The 20,347-nt window shown below is 42.4% G+C and overlaps 1 long non-coding RNA gene across 2 annotated transcripts in view, besides 1 other annotated feature; it reads left to right on the top strand.

Annotated features, from left to right (window-relative positions):
• The window catches only part of F11-AS1 (F11 antisense RNA 1), a 214,961-nt gene that overhangs the window by 23,867 nt on the left and 170,747 nt on the right, over positions 1-20,347 (top strand). The window lies entirely within an intron of this gene.
• Positions 5,383-5,677: a silencer, noted in NCBI's record as "tiled region #13116; HepG2 Repressive non-DNase unmatched - State 22:ReprW". NCBI's record gives its function as "represses a minimal TATA promoter and a strong SV40 promoter by Sharpr-MPRA in HepG2 cells {active_cell/tissue: HepG2}" and the evidence as "EXISTENCE:reporter gene assay evidence [ECO:0000049][PMID:27701403]".

The following is a 20,347-nucleotide window of genomic DNA, read 5'->3' as shown; positions in this document are numbered from 1 at the left end:
GATCACTGAATGGTGGAAGGAGAGCTGTGATCACTGAATGGTGGAAGGAGAGCTGTGATCACTGAATGGTGGAAGGAGAGCTGTGATCAATGAGTGGGGGAAGGAGAGCTGTGATCACTGAATGGTGGAAGGAGAGCTGTGATCAATGAGTGGTGGAAGGAGAGCTGTGATCAATGAGTGGTGGAAGGAGAGCTGTGATCGATGAATGGGGGAAGGAGAGCTGTGATCACTGCATGGGGGAAGGAGAGCTGTGATCACTGCATGGTGGAAGGAGAGCTGTGATCAATGAATGGTGGAAGGAGAGCTTTGATCGATGAATGGGGGAAGGAGAGCTGTGATCGATGAATGGTGGAAGGAGAGCTGTGATCGATGAATGGGAGAAGGAGAGCTGTGATCAATGAATGGAAGAAGGAGAGCTGTGATCACTGAATGGGGGAAGGAGAGCTGTGATCACTGAATGGTGGAAGGAGAGCTGTGATCACTGAATGGTGGAAGGAGAGCTGTGATCACTGAATGGTGGAAGGAGAGCTGTGATCACTGAATGGTGGAAGGAGAGCTGTGATCACTGAATGGTGGAAGGAGAGCTGTGATCGATGAATGGTGGAAGGAGAGCTGTGATCGATGAGTGGTGGAAGGAGAGCTGTGATCAATGAGTGGTGGAAGGAGAGCTGTGATCGATGAATGGGGTCTGCGGGGGCTGCAGGGGATGGGTGTATTTGTCACTCCTTCCAAGGCTTGCTTCACTCCCAGTGTCAGTTTTGAGAAAGATCACAGCTGGAAGACTGGAAGACCTGAGCATGGAGGTGTTGGTTGCAGAAATGAAGACATGGCACAGGGCGCTGTGGCTCATGCCTGTAATCCCAGCACTTTGGGAGGCCGAGGCAGGCAGATCACGAGGTCAGGAGATTGAGACCTTCCTGGCTAATGAAGTAAAACCCCTTCTTTACTAAAAATACAAAAAATTAGCTGGGTGTGGTGGCATGCGCCTGTAGTCCCAGCTACTCCAGAGGCTGAGACAAGAGAATTGCTTAAACCCAGGAGGCAGAGGTTGCCGTGAGCCGAGATTGCACCACTGCACTCCAGCGAGACTCCATCTCAAAAAAAAAAAAAAAGAAAAAGCAAAAAACAAAAAAGAAATGGAGACATGACAGCAGTGGCCTAGATAAGTGCATTCTTTGATCTTTACAGCATGTAGGTGGTGCACACGGCTTCCTGGAGGCAAAAGGAGACCAGGCTAGTGCGACTGAGCCTATAGTATAAAAACCCTAGGCCGGGCGCGGTGGCTCAAGCCTGTAATCCCAGCACTTTGGGAGGCCAAGGTGGACGGATCACCTGAGGTTGGGAGTTCAAGACCAGCCTGACCAACATGTAGAAACCCTGTCTCTACCAAAAATACAAAATTAGCTGGGCGTGGTGGTGCATGCCTGTAATCCCAGCTACTCAGGAGGCTGAGACAGGAGAATCACTTGAACCTGGGGGTGGGGTGGGGAGGGCGCGGGCGGAGGTTGCAGTGAGCCAAGATCGCACCATTGCACTCCAGCCTGGGCAACAAGAGTGAAGCTCCGTCTCAAAAAAACAAAAACAAACAAACAAACAAAAACCCTAAGGTGTTTGCTTTGCTTATTTTCCTCTCTCTGTTTTGCTTATTTTCCTCTCTCTTTGTCCTCTCCTCTCCCTGTGCACACTTGCTGGCATGAAGTCATTCTGGTGGAGGGGAGTTGCTAATAATTGATTACCTTCATATCCTAACCCTCCAGGGTCTGCCTGCGAGATTGATGAACTTGTTTTCCTTCCTTCCTTCCTTCCTTCCTTCCTTCCTTTCTTTCTTTCTTTCTTTCTTTTTCTTTCTTTCTTTTTCCTTTCTTTCTTTCTTGCTTGCTTGCTTGCTTTCTTTCTCTCTCTCTTTCTTTTCCTTCCTTCCTTCCTTCTTTCTTTCTTCCTTTCTTTTCTCTCTCTTTTCCTTCCTTCCTTCCTTCCTTCCTTCCTTCCTTCCTTCCTTCCTTCCTTCCTTCCTTCTTTCTTTCTTTCTTTTTTTTGGAGTCTCACTCTGTGGCCAAGGCTGGAGTGCAGTGGCGCAATCCCAGCTCACTGCAACCTCTGCCTCCCGGGTTCAAGCGATTCTCCTGCCGCAGCCTCCCAAGTAGCTGAAATTACAGGCGCATGCCACCGCACCTGGCTAATTTTTGTATTTTTAGTAGAGATGGGGTTTCTCTATGTTAGCCAGGCTGGTCTCAATCTCCTGACTTCAAGTGATCTGCCTGCCTTGGCCTCCCGAAATGTTGGGATTACAGGCATAAGCCACCACGCCCGGCTTTGTTTATCTTTAAAGAACAAGATCCTTTGGTCAGATAGACATCCTTGAAGGCATCCAGAAGTTTCATCTGGCCAAGGGACCGAGGGAGGCAAGCAGCTTTGGTCATGGGATCGCCACTCCCGCATCCCCACCTTCCTCATAAAGCCTCAATTATGTCCAAAGGCAGGTCAGAATTGCGAGATTTTGTCTCCCGCCCTCTGGCCTTGGCCAAATCTTATAAACCTTTCGCTGCTCTCAGAGGTTCTACAACACTAGCACCCTGAAAAAAGTGCCCAGCCAAGCCTAGGTTAGGCCTCGACTAAAAACAAAAGCAAACTTGAAGTTTCACAACTTGGTCCAACTCTACTCACTCTTAGAACTAGGCGTGGCTATTATGTGGCTATTACGGGTGACTATGGTGCTACTGGGGTCCAGGCACCCAGAAGGGCTGCATATTTCTGTGCACACTACGTCTGCTTACCATGGCCTTTCTTACCAAGAAAACTACGTCTAAGTAAAAAATAGTAGAATGAGAGTTAGAATGAATAAGAAGTAAAATGAGAATGAGAATAGCTACCAAACCTAGTCAGAAGCCTGGATTAGAATACCCAAAATGGACCTGCCAGCCGACAAAGCACCTCCTGTGGCCACCAGGAGAAGAAGAAAGATAAGTTGGGAATGCAAATGAACACGAAACAGGTGTGTCCTCCCAGGCATAGAAGAGGTGGAACTTAAGACAGTGTTATAGACAGTCCTGCCCCTAAGGAGACAGAGTCAGCCCCGCCCCAGCAAAGTGTACGGCAGGCAGTGGAAGGAGAGCCAGGCATGAGCATAAACAACAGGCGAGCTGGAGTTTTTGTCTCTCAAACTGAGTAGTAAGGAGACTTTCAGGGTCAGCTTTTTGTTTTGTTCCCCTCCTCCCCCACACACACCTTTTTTTTTTTTTGAGACGGGGTCTCACTCTGTCGCCCAGGCTGGAGTGCAGTGGCACGATCTCCGCTCACTGCAAACTCCGCCTCCCAGGTTCAAGCAATTCTCCTGCCTCAGCCTCCCGAGTAGCTGGGACTACAGCTGCCCATGCCTGGCTAATTTTTGTATTTTTAGTAGAGAAGGGGTTTTGCCATGTTGGCCAGGCTGGTCTCAAACTCCTGACCTCAAGCGATCTGCCTGTCCCGGCCTCCCAGAGGGCTGGGATTACAGATGTGAGCCACCGTGCCCTGCTATTTCCCCTTTTTTTTTTTTCAAAATTTAACTGGAACTCATCCCCTTTATCCAATGGTCTCAGGCAGACATCTGTGAATACACCCTTCTCACCTCCAGTTGTAAACAGTCAATTAGTTCTCAACTGATAAATTGTGTTTTTGAAAGACCCAGAGAGGAATTTTGTCTTCATTTAGCTCTCAATTTTGCTTTTGTATACTTATTTGTGCAGTATATTAATTTGCTAAATTAATGTTCATTTGGGGGAATTATATGATCAGCTGTTTCACCATAGCCAAATAAAAATTTATCTTAAACTAGTGGTCACTAACGTTTCTTGAGGGAAACTGAGCTTGGCTTTCTGAAATATTCCACATGACCACCCAGTGGGCTAGGAAGGAAACCTGATATCCACTGAAAGGACCAGCCTCACCGGTGGTAAAACCAGCCTGTTCTGGAAGCCAGGGGGTGCGAATTGTTCATCTGGCCCCACCATTGGCCAACCATGTAACTGCATTAACTCACCCAACCTCTGTCACCTCGGATTCCTTAACGCATAAAAATACAGGAGTTAAACTCCTGCCTGATCCTGTCATTCCCTAAATCTGTTTTTGGGATTTGGACTCAGTTATAGGTGAATTTGTACTCCCTCTACTGGTGGATGAAAGCAAAACAGTAATAAATAAGGTGAATTTACTTCATGATACAATGTATTAATTTGGAGAACCATTGCAATTTTGGATTCTAGAAAGTGAGTTCAACTAATTGTTATCATCATAAGGAGAGTCTTTGGAATGATGATTAAGGCAGGATCCAGCACTTCTGGAACTAGTGGTTCCTTCATGAACCCTCTCATCTGCTGGTTCCTCAGCCTGAGAAGAAAGAGAAGCACTAATAATACCACTCCACTGATGTAATGCAGTAATATATTAGACACTACGGAAAGTACTCCATACTTGTTAGCCATTATTGCTGATATTTTGCTGGGGTAATATAAATTGAAGAGTTTCTGTAGAACTCAGCATCTGTTTTATCATACAGAGTATGTTTTATTTCATAAGAATTATAATGCTGTAATAGTGCATAATACATTTACTAATGCTATAACAGTGCATAAGAAATGAAATAAAATTCAATAATTTCAGGCACAACTCTGACCAAGCCTCACGACTTAGATTGAAAAGCTGTCATGTAGGTACACTGCTTGTTTGGAGTGGCTTATATTGGCTTCTAGCATGTTTACACTGACAGTGTCTTTGATAGTCCCTATGTAATATATAATTAAAGCCTGGGCAACATGGCAAAACCACATCTCTACCAAAAAAACAAAAAAAACAAACACACAAAAACTAGCCAGGTGTGGTGGCGAGCACCTGTAGTTCTAGCTACTTGAGGGCCGAGGTGGGAGGATCACTTGAGCCCAGGAGGTTGAGGCTGCAGAGAGCCATGATTGCACCACTGCACTCTAGACAGAGCAAGACCCTGTCTCAAAATAAATAAATAAATAAATAAATAAAATGAATAAAAACCAAAACACCCCAAAACAAAAAACCAAACTATAAAATATATAATTAAGATGAACTAAAATATCTCTATTATTTTCTTTATAGCAATAATTTAGGTTTTTAATAAGTAGCATCCTAGGTTAGAAAAGAACATAATTTACATATTTTATATTCAATTTTTAGATTAAAAAAATCCTTCAGATGCATAGATTCTAAAAACTTGCATTTTTATATGAAAACTTCAATTATTTAATTCACTATAACTGTAATATTTTTCAGTTTACTTTTAATTACAGTAGAGATTTTTTAACTTCTTCATTGTGGAATTTTAGACAGCAGGAGAGAAAATAATCTTATGAATCCCCATACATCTGAAGAACACCAGAATATTTCACCCCGAAATATGCTTCTTTGGCAAGTGGAAAGTAAAGTTACAGGAAAGGGCTGTCTGAGCTGCCCTTTCTTACCTAAGGCAGGCCATAAAAATTGCTGTGAAAAAATGCGGAGAAGCTTCTGCCTCCCCTATCTGCCTGAAGACAGAGATGTAAGTAGTGGTTCACTTATCAGTGCAGGGGCTGGCGCCAGCAGGGCCAGAGGAATCTGGGAGCAGGCTTTATTACCTTTCCATAGTTGTCCCACTTTTGGGAGCCTGGAGCTGCTTGGTCCTTTGTCCTGTCACTTCTGAATATATTGTTCTTTGCTAGATGTGCTATGTAAGCCAGGGCCCTAAGCCACCTTACTTTTGAACTCAGCTTTCTCCCCATGGGATAGACACACACGTAAATAAAAATGCTTTTTTTTCTCTCTCTTGTTAATCTGTCTTCTGCTAACAGGAATCTGTCCCACTAATGAACTTACAAGGATTGAGAAAAGAAATTATTTTTTCTCCTATGAAAGGAAGACAAAATCTTGGGAGCCCAAATTCGCTATGCCAAAATGGAAAAGTTAAGCTTGAAAACTGAGTCATGAAAAAACCAAAAAACCCTGCCTTTCCTTTTGCTCCTAAACTAATAGCTACAGATAGAAGGCCACATGTTTCCACAGGGGCCTCCCTCACTCTGACCATGTAAATTAACAGTTTATCTTCAAGAGTACGGGACGAGAGGAGCCTAGAAATTGTCCCGCTGCGCACCCTGAGACGAATGCATATTCAGTTGCTTCCTCTACTGAAGTTCACCTTATCTTATGTAGAGTACAGATGTACTGAGCAGGAGATGAATGCAGAATTGACGGTTCATCTACCCGCTCCTTTTCATGTGGATTCTAAAGAACGTGACCAGCCCTCCCTCTCCTTTTCCTTCTTTTCCCCTCCTGCCTCCTTTTCCCCTTTTCATATTGTAGCCCTCAAAATCCTCTTCAGAAAAAGGGGGTGCCACAGATCCTACAGTGGCTTGTGTCTCTGTTTGCCAGGTGCTTCCTCAACCTTGGCAAAATAAACCTCTAAATGGATTAAAATCACCTCCGTCAGGCCAGGCGCGGTGGCTCACGCCTGTAATCCCAGCACTTTGAGAGGCTGAGGTGGGCAGATCATGAGGTCAAGAGATTCATCTTGGCCAACATGGTGAAACCCTGTCTCTACTAAAAATACAAAAATTAGCTGGACGTGGTGGCACACGCCTGTAGTCCCAACTACTCAGGAGGCCAAGGCAGGAGAATCACTTGAACCCAGAGGCAGAGGTTGCAGTAAGCCAAGATCAGGCCACTATACTCCAGCCTGGGCAACAGAGAGAGACTCCGTCTCAAAAAAAAAAAAAAGAAAAAAAAAATCACCTCCATCATTTTCTTCAGTTCACCCACCCTGCACAGCCATCACCCACCTTCAACAATCACTGCCGTTTGTCTGCTGTTATTTCATCTGTTTCTTTTCCACCCACCCTCCCACCTCCCAAATTATTTAAAGGAAATTCCAGACATCATATCATTTCATCCAGAAACACTCCAACATATATTTCTAAAACATAAGGATTCTTTCTTTAACATAAACACAATATTATTAATAGCCCTAAAATCGACAATAATGTTAATATAATCCAGTATCTGGTGAGTGTGCAGATTTTCTCAATTCTCAGAAATGTTTGTTTTATATTTGGTTTGTTTGCATTGGGATCTAAACAAGGACCACATATCACATTGGCTTCATATGTATCACCTTTCTTTAATCTGTGATTTCCCTCCGTCTTCTTTTTTCCTTGCTATTTGTTGAAGAAACCTAATAATTTACATCTAGAAATTTCCAATTCTAGATTTTGTTGATTATGTCCCCATGGCATCATTTTCCTTCATCACCTACATGTGTATTTTTTACCAGACGAGCTCTCACTGTGTTGCCCAGGCTGGAGTGCAGTGACTGTACACAGGCGTGATTGTAGCCATCTTCCCACCTCAGCTTCCAGAGTAGCTGAGACTACAGACATGGGCTACTGCACCCAGCTCTCATTGGTATTTTTTGAAACCAGTTATTAGATCCAAGTCCTTGATTAGATTCAGATAATTTTTGTCTTTTGGGTACATATACTTCACAGGTAGTGTGTCTCTTTCTAGGGTATCAAGGTTATCCAGGTCCTGGCTGTCTCTGCCATCCATCTGCGTGTAGTACATGGCCGGTTGTTGCCTACTCTTAGCCTCGTCTATGGTGTAGGAAAAGAGTCCATTTCCACTTCCCACAATTGAACATTTCAGATAGCAAGATGGTCAGTCAACAAGGCTGCCTCTCTAGAATTTCCTTCTTATTTATTTGAATTCTGTCCTTTGTAAATTATAACTCAGTCAGTACAGTCAAATATTATGTAATAGCTTTTTTATCCCTACAGTGTCAACAAAAACAGCCAAACTCTGTATTTGAAGAGTTTTATTTTGAGCCAAATATGAGTGACCATGGCCGGAGGCGTGGCCTCAAGAGATCCTGAGAACGTGTGTCCAAGGTGGTTGGGCTGCAGCTTGGTTTTATATGTTTTGGGGAGACATATACAATACACATGAGGTTTAGTCCGAAAAGGCAGAACAACTCCAAGAGGGAGCTTCCAGGTTGTAGATGGAGTCAAGGATTTTCTGATTGGCAATTGGTTAAAAGAGTTATTATCTAAATAGAATAATAGAGGCAATAGAAAGGAGTGTCTGGGTTAACATAAGGGGCTGTGGACACTGAGGTTCTTATGAAATCTTATAGGTGGCTGCCCTTAGATACAATAGATGGTGAATGTCTCCTCTTCAAACCTTTAAAAGGTGCTGGACTCTTGATTGCTTGAGCCCAGGATGCACAGGTTGCAGTGAGCTGAGATCCCTCCACTGGACTCCAGCCTGTGGAGTGACAGAGTGAGATCCTGTCTCAAAAAACACAAACATAAAAATAAAAATAAAAAATAGAAATAGAAATAGATTCTCAATTAATCTCTTCAGGATTGGGAGGGCCTGGAAGGGGAAGATTTAGTTGTGTTAACAGAGATTCTTCACGGACAAAAATTTCCCCCACAAAAGACTCTGCAGGGCCATTTTAAAATATGGCGAAAAGCCCTACATATTTTTTGGGGTAAAATATTTTGATTTCTTTCTTTATCTTTCATGTGATGTTATGCCAGTGTTGGGTTGGAAAGTGAGCCACATTATATAGGGTGAAATAAAGCCCACCTGATGAGATGTTTTGGTTTGTAGTCGTGGTTTGTAGTCGTGACTCCGCAGGCCCCTTAGATAGGAATATGGGCAAGAGAGAAAAAAGGTCAGAGTTTACTTCTCAGTGAGAAACATCTCATAAATACATTAATGTTTACTTTTGTCCAGAAAAATACCTATATTTTCTCAAATATCCTGTCATTTTCTACACCAGATCGTTATTTTTCCCAGCGAGTGTTCACAATCTTATATTATTATCTTGGCTCAAGGTACATATCAAAATTATTTATTTAATATATCCGTCTTCAGATCTCCTGCCTTGCGAGGCCAATAGTGTTTGCTGTTAAAGTTGGCTTTGAAAAGATGAAGTGATAGGAACAGTAAATATTTCCATTATCTCAATTTTATATTGATATACTTTAAACATTTATTTATATAAGACATCATATAAGAGGAGACTTGGAAATACTTGGCCTTGAGAAAAAGAGCACATACCATAGTTAACTGAATGTCTGAAGACTATTGGGGAAGAAGGAGAGTGGGGAAGGAGAGGAAGACATGTCAGACCATGAGAATAAGAACACCTGGTTGAGCTCAATGGTGGTTTTTAGTTCTTAATAGGTTAATGAGAACCTTTTCAGTCATGTGACATGTTTTACATGGAAAACAAAATTGCAAGGATAACATGGATGTGTATTTTGTAAGACAATTACAAAATCATTTTCAAGTTCATCGCCTTAATCTTACTTCTTTGAAAGATGTTTCAGCATTGTGATGCGTTGCCCTTCACTGATGTTTATATTTACTGACTTACATGTACACAGACACAAAACAGTTTTCTTAGAAAGCAGTCTTGGAGACTGAGATTTGGGTACAGAAAGTTTATGGGAGAGTGCGCTAGAAATCAATGCCTTTGATGGGGTTCAGGGCAACCCCAAAATATGGCACCTTGGCATAGTGAATATGTTAAGCTGAAGGAATTCGAGAAATGGCAAGAAGGTCTCTCCAACCTGCCTCTGTCCTTCTTTCCTGAAGCAGGCGATAAGACCCTCATGTGAGAGGTGCCTTCCTAGACCTGGAGGACAACATTCTTATCTCCAAAGACAGAGGGGTATTGAGAGTAATTAGAACAAATGAGCCCTGCCAAGTGTCCCCCCGTTTACCCCTCTTAGCCCATACTCTTAGCCCGTGCTCTTAGCCCATATTCTGTCCTGTCACATTTCCCCAGGACTTTCCACTCTTCATCAAACAGCAGAAACACACCCCAGTTTAACCCTTTCTTTGTGTCTTCATTTTCTCATGGACATCTCCATGCCATGTAAAACTTATATTAATTAAATTTCTATGCTTTTTCTCTTATTAATCTGTCTTTTGTGAAGGGGTTCCCAGCTGAGAACTTACAAGGGTAGATGGAAGATATTTTTCCTCTCTTGCACCTGAGAGAGGCTGGAGGAAGCAGAACTGAACCCGTTGACCCTCCCAGCAGCTGTGGGAATGAGTGCTTGGGGTGAATCTGGGATTCCCTTTTCCAGTTTCACTGTTACTTTTTAGGAAACGAGCTGAGCTTCACTAGTTCTGTTTCTTTTATTTATATATTTGTAATTTCTTTTTTTGTTTGTTTGTTTTTGAGATGGAGGCTTACTCTGTCACTCAGGCTGGAGTGCAGTGGCACCATCTTGGTTCACTGCAACTTCCACCTCCCAGGTTCAAGTGATCCTCCTGCCTCAGCCTCCTGAGTAGCTGGAATTACAGGCACGTGCCACCGTGCCTGGCTAATTTTTGTATTTTTAATAGAGATGGGGTTTTGCCATGTTGCCCAGGCTAGTCTCGAACTCCTGACCTCAAGTGATCTGCCAGCCTTGGCCTCCCAAAGTTCTGGGATTACAGGTGGCCTTATTTATATATTTGTAACTAAAATTATTCTTTAAAAAGCACACGTCATGTTTAATTGTGACCTTGAGATAGATCACAATCTTAATTTGATAAGAAATAGTAAATTATATTTGCCATATTGTACTTTGGCCAAAAAAAAGGTGTTGATATGTCTGAGAAAGTTGATTTAAGAATGAGAATACAAATCAAAATAGATTTCTGTTTATGTTTCACTAACCAAAAACTATAGCCAGTATGTCTTCTAGATCTAGTTTATGATTCAGAATCCCCTCTTCTCATGTGAACCAGAAGAAAAGAGTGAGAGCAGAAAAAGCAGCAAGGTGTAATTTGGTTACCAGGCCCTCTTCTCACTGTTCTGGGAGGAGCAGTTTGCTTCAGGTAGACTGAGTGACTTATACATAGGGCCACCTGCATGACTGGAGCCCGAGGCAGTGGCGATGCTCTCTTTCCTTATGAAGAGATGGCCTCCAGTAGCAACAGATCATCTGTTGTCTCCAAACTTGGTTTCTCCTAGGTTTGTTTTTCTTTTCTTTAACAGAAGAGACCACTGTTCTTTTTTTATTCTTTTTTTTGGCGGGTGGGGGGAGGGGGGTGCGGTTAGGGGAGTGAGGTGGTTGAACTCTGAATCTGTATGAGCTTTTCAGATATTAGTATGATACATTGATAGTCACAATGTGAAGATGAATTTCTTTTAAAAAAACTGTCTGGCTAGGCACAGTGGCTCATACCTATAATCCCAGCACTTTCGGAGGCTGAGGCAAGAGGATCGCCTGAGCCCAGGAGTTCAAGACCAGCCTGGGCAACAAAACAAGGCCCTGTCTCTACCAAAACACCTACATATATATATTCCTCTCTCTCTAGGGGAAGTCTTTAATAAGTCTTTATCAAGTACATTCTGAGGGGCCACATTTTCTACATTTGCATTAGGAGACTGAAAGTAGGTTTATAACTTTTAAAGATCAAATTACTTCTATGCATTTTATGTGCCCCAATTTCAAGTGTAAAGGGCACATACAAAACTATGAAGAGGGACAGATGGCAACTGGACTTTACATAATGCTTGAAATAGACACACCGATGATCCTAAACACATTTTTAGATATCTAAAGACAAAAATCATCATTGAAATAGAATTTAAGTGAAACAAGATGATTTTAAATATATGTGTACTAAATATATATAATATATATTTAATTTAAAATTTTCTTGTTTCACTTAAATTCTATTTCAATGATGATTTTTGTCTTTAGATATCTAAAAATGTGTTTAGGATCATCAGTGTGTCTATTTCAAGCATTATGTAAAGTCCAGTTGCCATCTGTCCCTCTTCATAGTTTTGTATGTGCCCTTTACACTTGAAATTGGGGCACATAAAATGCATAGAAGTAATTTGATCTTTAAAAGTTATAAACCTGCTTTCAATCTCCTAATGCAAATGTAGAAAATGTGGCCCCTCAGAATGCACTTGATAAAGACTTATTAAAGACTTCCCCTAGAGAGAGAGCCTAACGAAAAGGAGTCCCAAAGCACTGACATGGAATTAGATTTTAAATGCTGTGTTTACATTTTCCAGTCTTTTGCTTTTTATCAGCACTGACTCTACCATTAAAGAATGTCATCTGAGCTAATTAACATGGTCCCATGGTTCATTTCCCAGTGAAATAACTAACTTTCAAAAGATTTTATAGACCCTCATGCAGCTTTTCTCCTATCTTCCATGCATAAAAATTTTGGCATATCGAGAATCTTCAATAAATATTTCTGGAGGAATGACTTTCCAATGATGTTCTGCCAGACTTAATGCAATAAAGAATAAATTCTATCATACTCTCTCTGATGTCATGCAGAAAAATTGAAATTCTGGGACATGTTGAGGTGAATTACTTCCATTCAAACTCATAAATAAAACCTAAGTTAGATTTAGTAGATACTGGCAATACTTATGGAGTGTTAATTAAGATAATTGATTTTTACCAAATGAATGAATTGGATATCAGTAAGCCACACACTGGATTGTGTAGCATCTCCGTGGTACCAAGACAAAGCTGCCTGTTAACATTTAGAATTCTATAACTTGTCTTTCATTCCATCATTAGAGAAAAGGTTCCCCATGAAACATTCATAATAGCGAATGACTGACTGGTCTCAAGTAAGGAACCAAGAGCAGATCCTAATGGTCAAGAGCTGTTGCCCAAAGGGATATGGGGCTCTGAAAGGGAGGGTGGAGAAAGGTACCAGAATATGCCACCCCAAAATACACTTCTTAGGCATAGGGATTCTTTTGACTAAGTAATTGAGAGCCAGCAGATGAAGGAAAAGCTCTTTACCTTCCCTGTCTGCGTGAAAAATCAACCTCCCCTTTTATAAAGGAAATTTACACTTACGAAGGTAACTTCCATTGGGAGAGGGGCCTCTGTACCTGGAAGACAGCTACTCCTGGAGAAAACCCCCCTCCTTTTTCTTAAAGACAGGGTCTTGCTCTGTTGCCCAGTCTGGAGTGTAGTGGTGCAATCTCAGCTCACTGCAGCTTTGGCCTCCTGGGATCAAGTGATCCTCCCACCTCAGCCTCTGGAGTAGCTGAGACTACAGGAGCACGTCACCACGCCTGGCTAATTTTTTAATTTTAATTTTTGTAGAGACAGAATCTGTTTATGTTGCCCAGGCTGGTCTCAAATTCCTAGGCTCAAGTAATCTTCCTGCTTCAGCCTCCTAAAGTGCTGGAATTACAAATAATTTTTATTTATTTATATTTTTATTTTTAGTGAGAAGATCTTCCTCTGTTACTAAAGAGTGGAGAGGAGTGGCACCCTCCTAGCTCACTGTAACCTCCAATTCCTGGTCTCTGGTGGTCTTCCTGCCTTAGCCTCCTGAGTAGCTGGGACTACAGGCACACACCACCACATCTGGCTAATTTTTTTCTTTCTTGTAGCGACAGTTTGTCACTGTTATCCAGGCTGGTCTTGCACTCCTAGGCTCAAGCAGTCCTCCCGCCTTGGCCTCCCAAAGGCTGGATTACTGGCATAGCCACTGCACCTGGCCACAGAGACAACTCTTTCCACCTCAGACTCTCACCTGCATAGCAAGACAGGCCGCATTTACCTGCATTTCCTCATTCTCTTTTCCATAACTTGCCTTCCCTCACTCAGAAGCCCCAAACCTCTTTTGCTTTGTTTGGCCTAAAGTGTACGTAAGCCTCAATTATCTGACCACCTCCTTGAGTTCATTTCTTTGTGAAACATCCATACATATGTGTGTAACTAAAACTTTGTTTTTCTTTTATTAATCTGTCAGTTTGATTTGCAGGTCCAGCCAGAGAATTTAGGGGAGTAGAGGAATAAAGGTTTTTTTCTCCCTTTCAATGGAAATCTCCAAGATAAATTTTTCTTTATAATTTTAATGCACCTAAATGAAGGGGAAATTTATGTCTAAGTAGACCAACAATTATATAGATAACAGGCAAATATAAACATCTCTTGACCATATAGAACTATTTTTGGTGTCTGTCTATGCTAATGAGAGTTGCCTTTAGGTAAGAGCACCCTTTTAACTTTTTTTTAATTTTTTTTATTTATTTTTTGAGACAGAGTTTCACTCTTGTCGCCCAGGCTGGAGTGCAATGGCACAATCTCAGCTCACTGCAACCTCCGCCTCCTGGGTTCAAGCAATTATCCTACCTCAGCCTCCCAAGCTGGGATTACAGGTGCCCACCACCATGCTTGGCTAATTTTTGTATTTTTAGTAGAGACAGGGTTTCACCACATTGGCCAGGCTGGTCTCCAACTTCTGACCTCAGATGATCCACCCGCCTGGGATTATGGGCGTGAGCCACCGCGCCCGGCAAGCACCCTTTTATTAATGCCACCCTTATATTAACTTTATTAACATGTTAATTCATCAGGAACACTCAGTTGAACTTGGTGCCCGACAACAGTGCTGATCAAATCCTCAGGGAGCCTCTTGTGACATCCTCATAGAAAAATGATGAGGCCGTACGCTTGTCAGGAGAGAGATCACCATGTTCCTACTACTTTCTGTAGCTCTGAGACCCCTTGAAGATTTTATTTTGCTTTAGGCTTCAGCCAGTCATGTTTTCTGTGAGATTTTTCATTAAGTTAGCTGGCTGTGAATATTCACCCTTCCCACTTGCAGGGGATAAGACAAAATTTCCCCTTTGTCCTCTTAAGGTTCCCTGGAAAATCAATTGACAAAGGGAAGATTAACTGGAAAAATGGCATACCAGTTTATTAACATGTGCACAGGGGAGATTCACAGGATGACTGCCCAATATCCCACTGGAGTCCAGATACCTGTATGGCCTCATTTCAGGGGACGGGTGGATAGGGAATATACGTGACTGTTGAGGGGCAATAAATGATTACCTGGAAGAATGAATGGATTGGGCAATGGAGATTAACCTGTAAATGGTTCCCTTTGGAAGCTGAATAAACCCAAGAGACAGATAATAGCTTATGGAGTCAGTTCAGGTGTGGTTTCATTCTTAATCTTTTCTGCGATAGATAATGAGATAGCAGGAGGAGAGGTTAAAAAAAAATGCTCTTGTTGGTAGGTTCATCTGGTCTTGATATAGATGGGAGAAAAGCCTCTTCCAATGTCTGTTGATCTCTGAGGGCCTTTAATTCAAAATACTTGTGATATCAGGGAGCCATATTTTGGGGTGAGGGTTTACCTTCACACTCTACAGAGGAAAAACTCAGTGGGGGGTGGTTCTTCATATATTTGCAAAAATTGAGAGTGCACAGAAGTCAGTCATGTACATCTCCAAATGGTTGAACTCTAAATGGAACATTGTGGTAGTCACCTTTTCAGAGAATCTGAAATTTCTTGCCTGAGTATTCAAGAGTCATTTCCTATAAGTCCAGGCAACCAGTTCTTGACAAATAGCTGTATCAGTTTCTGGTGGAAACCCAAGTCTGATTATCAAAGGGATCAAATTCCTTTTGAATATGAATTATTTCATTGTACTTTACACCCGGAGTCAGGGATTATGTTTTTCTCCCTTGCTTTGAAGGAGTTCAGAATGTGCCACCCCAAAATATGCCACTTTGAAATAGGATTATTTTGAGCTGAAAGCAATTAAAAAGAACAGATGCAAGAAAAACTCTCTGACCTCCCCCTCTCTACCGGGAAGGGCAGGATAACTCTCAATGGCCAGAGGTAACTCTCTAGAGACCCTTCCCAGCCCAGAGAATCTGTGTAAGAGAGGAATCTACAGAATGAACCATACTAATAGCCCTTGTCTTCCCTTGTTTTCCTTCATCGATTTACCTTTCCACAATTTGCTGGCCTTAGAACTGAAGGCCCCTTTCCCTTGTGTTGCTACTTCTCTACAAAATTCTTGTTCTTTTGTTAAGATGGTAAAATATAAACCCAGGTTCTAGCCACCTGTTTGACCTATTCGTTACCGAGTACTCCTGTGTGTATGGGCAATGCACTCGTTAATGAATTTCTGTTTGTTTATCTCTTGCTAATCTATCTTTTGTCTGTCTAATTGGCAGTCCCTAACCCATGAAACTAAGATGGGTAGAAAGTCAGAGAATGTTTTTCTCCCCTACACTTTATACTGGCAGCCCTGAGAACAGTGCATGCCCAGTACAAGCTTGCTTGAAGAATGGAGAATGTTTTTCAGAAGTACTGTACTCATTAGGACAAAGTTTTGATGAACTTTTATATCTAAATTCATGATAAATATCTTCGTTTTTCAGTTTCCATGAAGCCCTTACACAAACAGTATTATATTAAGGACCATAGACAAAGATATGCCCCACTCTTCCCCTAATGTTTCTAAAAGTTGGTCACAATCAATTTGTTTTGAAAGAACTACTAAAACAATAAACACCAGATAAAGGAAAAGCTGCCAAGTAGAAATGAAAAACATTTAAACATTGAAGAAAATAGTTCCATATGAGTGATAGCAGCAGGAGGCAGTCACATGCCTAGCCAATAGGGGCAGGTCCCGGTGAAACCTCACCTCCAAGCTGAAGACAGTTTAAAGCCTAAAAGCCAAGCACAAGTTCAATCTTCAAACCGGACTGAGAACTTGTCTTCCCATTTGGCATACTTTCCTCTGATTAATCCCCACCCTTTACCTATTTTACATATACCTACCCTTTCCTAATTGGTTCTCTGCACTGTCACGCCCACCTTTGAGTGATGTCTTTGCTTTAACCTTTTTTGCATACTCACAAACCAATCAGCATGCACTCCCCTATTCTGAGTCCATACAAAGCTCTGGACCCAGCCACAGAAGAACTACCCGACTGTGGGGGTCGGGGACGACTCCCGCGTCCCCTCTCTGCTGAGAGCTGCTCCATCACTCAATAAAATTCTTCTCCGCCCTCCTTGCACTTCAGTGTCCAGCATATCCTCATTTTTCTCGAGCACAATACAAGAGCTCGGGAACTGCCAAACGCAGGTACAAGCTATAACACAGGTGAGCTGGAGCGTTGCCTGCTGGGGATCCTCGGCTGGCAAAGTGACCGAGAAGAAAAATCCTATATCATGAGGGCTTGAGAATATGCTTTTACGTCCTGTTAATATCTTGGGGCAGTGTAGGGGAGGAGCAAACCATTTCCCTCTGCTCTCCTAGGTACTCTGGCTGGGGCCCAGGAAATTAAACTGAAAAATGACATATCAACAAGAGAAAAAAGGTTTAATTATATATGTGGGCACGGGAGTTTCACAAAAAATTGACACTTAAGGAAGTGGTCAGATGACTGAGGTTTCTATACCATTTTAGGCTTAAAAAAAGAATATGGGGCTTTGGAGGGGTGGGAGGAGGAATTCTGGAAGGTAAAGAGAGGAAATTCATGGTAAATTAGTGCGGTCTTGCTGTGCAGATAAGTGTTGTTTCCAGGTAATAGGAAGAAACTCTCTTCCTGATACAGCGACACTTTTAGAGACAAAAATGTCCTTTATAAATGGAAATTTCTGTTACAAAAGGGGGAAATGTATACTCTGTTTTCAGGCAGTTGGGAGAAGGTAAAGGGCCTTTCCTTCCTCTGTTGGTTCTCAGTTGCCTTTGGCTCAATATCATCCACATGCCAATGAGGCATATTTTGGGATGGCATATTCTGATACCTTCCAGCTGCAAGAAATAGGGGTTAAGACTGCAGCTGTTGATAGCTATTTTATTTTCGAGAACATTTCAGGACAACCTTTGAAAAGAGGAGTCTGGCTGTAGTGGCTCATGCCTGTAGTCCCAGCACTTTGGGAATCTGAGGTATGTGGATCGCTTGAGCCCAGGAGTTCAAGACCAGCCTGGGCAACATGGCAAAACCTTGTCTCTGCAAATACAAAAAAATTAGCCAGACGTGGTGGTGCACACCTGTAGTCCCAGCTACCTGGGAGGCAGAGGTGGGAGGAGCACTTGAGCCCAAGAGGTTGAGGCTGCAGTGAGCTGAGATTGTACCACTGCACTTTAGCCAGGGTGACGGAGTGAGACCCTGTCAGAAAGAAAGAGAGAGAGAGAGAGAGAGAGAGAGAGAGAGAGAAAGAAAGAAGAGAAGAGAAGAAAAGGAGAGAGGAAAATGTGTTGACTGAGGATGGGTTATCTCTAGGATCTCTTTGGATTCCTCAATGTGTTGCAGAACAATAGAAAAGCAGAGTAGGATGGGAGTCATAAGGGCTCTCCCACTAGGGCAGGCATCCAGAGTGAGCAGCAGATGCTAACAAGGTTTATCTCAGTGTCAGGGCTCCTTAATAACTGATATCATAAATATATTATACTTTGAAAAAAGTATTCACAGTAATAACAAAGATGGGAATGTCAGAAGCATTGGAACCAGAGCGACTCCATCTTGAACAGGAGCTGGGTAAAATAAGGCTGAGATCTTCTGGGCTGCATTCCCAGGAGGAATAGTCACAGGATGAGAGGGGAGGTCGACACAAGATACAGGTTACAAAGATCCAGCTGATAAAACAGGACACAGTAAAGAAGCCAGCCACAACCCACCAAAACCAAGATGGCAATGAAAGTGACCTCCGGATTGAGATGATGTCTTTGGAACTGGAGGCTATCATTCTTAGCAAACTAACACAGGAACAGAAACCAAACACTGCATGTTGTCACTTGTAAATGGAGCTAAGTGATAAGAACTTATGTAATAATAATAAAAAAAAGAACTTATGAACACACAGAAGGAAACAGCAGACACCAGGATCTACTTGTGGGGGGAGGGAGGGACGAGGGAGCGGAGCGGAAAAGGTAACTACTGGGCACTCAGCTTAATACCTGAGTGATGTAATATTATGCACAACAGACCCCCATGTCACGTGCTTATCTGTGTAACAAACCTTCACATGTACCCCCAAACCTACAATGAAAACTAAAAACCAAGAAAGTCATCTCAGTCATCCTCAGTATATGCTAATTGTAATGAGTTAGCATGCTAAAAGACATTGCCACCGGCGCCAGACTGTTTACAAATGCCATGGCAATGTCTGGAAGTTACCTTATAAGGTCAAAGAGGGGAGGGACCCTCAGTTCTGGGGCAAATCCCCACCTATTTCCAGGAAAACTCATGAATAATCCACCTCTTGTTTAGCATATGGTCAAGAAATAACTGTAAGTATACCCAGTGGAGCTGCGCATGCTGCTGCTCTGCCTATGAAGGAGACGTTCTTCATTCTTTTTTTTTTTTTTTTTTTTTGAGACGGAGTCTCACTCTGTCTCCCAGGCTGGAGTGCAGTGGTACAATCTCGGCTCACTACAACCTCTGCCTCCCAGGTTCAAGCCATTCTCGTGCCTCAGCCTCTCGAGTAGCTGGGATTACAGGCGTGCGCTGCCACGCCCAGCTAATTTTTGTATTTTTAGTAGAGATGGGGTTTCGCTATGTTGGTCAGGCTGGTCTCGAACTCCTGACCCGATGATCTGCCCACCTTGGTCTCTTTATTCCTTTACTTTCCTAACAAACTTACATTCACTTTCCTCTATGGACTCACTCCCAATTCTTTCCTGGGCAAGGTCTAAGAACCCTCTCTTGGAGTCTGGCTCGGGACCCCCTTCCGGTAACAGGAATGGTGCCCCAGGCTGACTACTGGGTTCCATGGCGTCACAGGGACCAGGATATGCTCTGGCGGGATCTGTGGTCTTAACAGGTAACCCAGGTAGCAAGTACTTTGTTCTACTTCTTCACTGGCCCCTGAAAACCCACAGGAAATGTTTCCCATCACGAGATTGCCCTGCCAAACTGAGAATGAGAGATAGCTTTCCTCCTCGGTAAAGAGAGTTAGGTCTGCAGATTTTGTGTGTAGAGAATATGTTTGAAATACTTTCCACTCACTGGTCAAACTTTTGGAAGAAAACGTCTTCTAAAATGGTTTTTCTTTGATCCAGGAACTCTGTTTTTGTTTATGAGAATATTATTGTCATGAAAACTTTAAAACGTAGAGAGAATAATATGATGAACACCCACCAATCTAAGTCATATTATTTTCTGTATCTAAAAGCCAGATTACTACCTATATGTTGCAATCTAGCTATATGTTGCTTCATATAAATAAAATATTACAGATACAGTCAAACTCTCCTTTTTCTTATTCCCAAAATGATTACCTTCCCTTCTGCACCACAGGTAATGGTAATTGCACACTGGTGGATATGCTTCCTATTGTTATTTGTTTTTATTTTTATTTTTTTTTTTTTAGAGATGGAGTGTCACTCTGTTGCTCCAGCTAGAGTTCAGTGGGGCAATCACAGCTCACTGCAGTCTTGAACTCCTGGGATCTTCCCACCTCAGCTTCCTGAGTAGCTGAGACATCAGGCACACACAATCAGCTATTTTTTTTTTTTTTTTTTTTTTTAGGGACAAGGTCTCCGTGCATTTCTCAG

This window comes from Homo sapiens, chromosome 4 (assembly GCF_000001405.40).
Source record: "Homo sapiens chromosome 4, GRCh38.p14 Primary Assembly".
NCBI classification, from domain to species: Eukaryota; Metazoa; Chordata; class Mammalia; order Primates; family Hominidae; genus Homo; species Homo sapiens.
The sequence above is the reverse complement of the archived record's forward strand: the minus strand, read 5'-3'. Positions and strand labels throughout refer to the sequence as shown.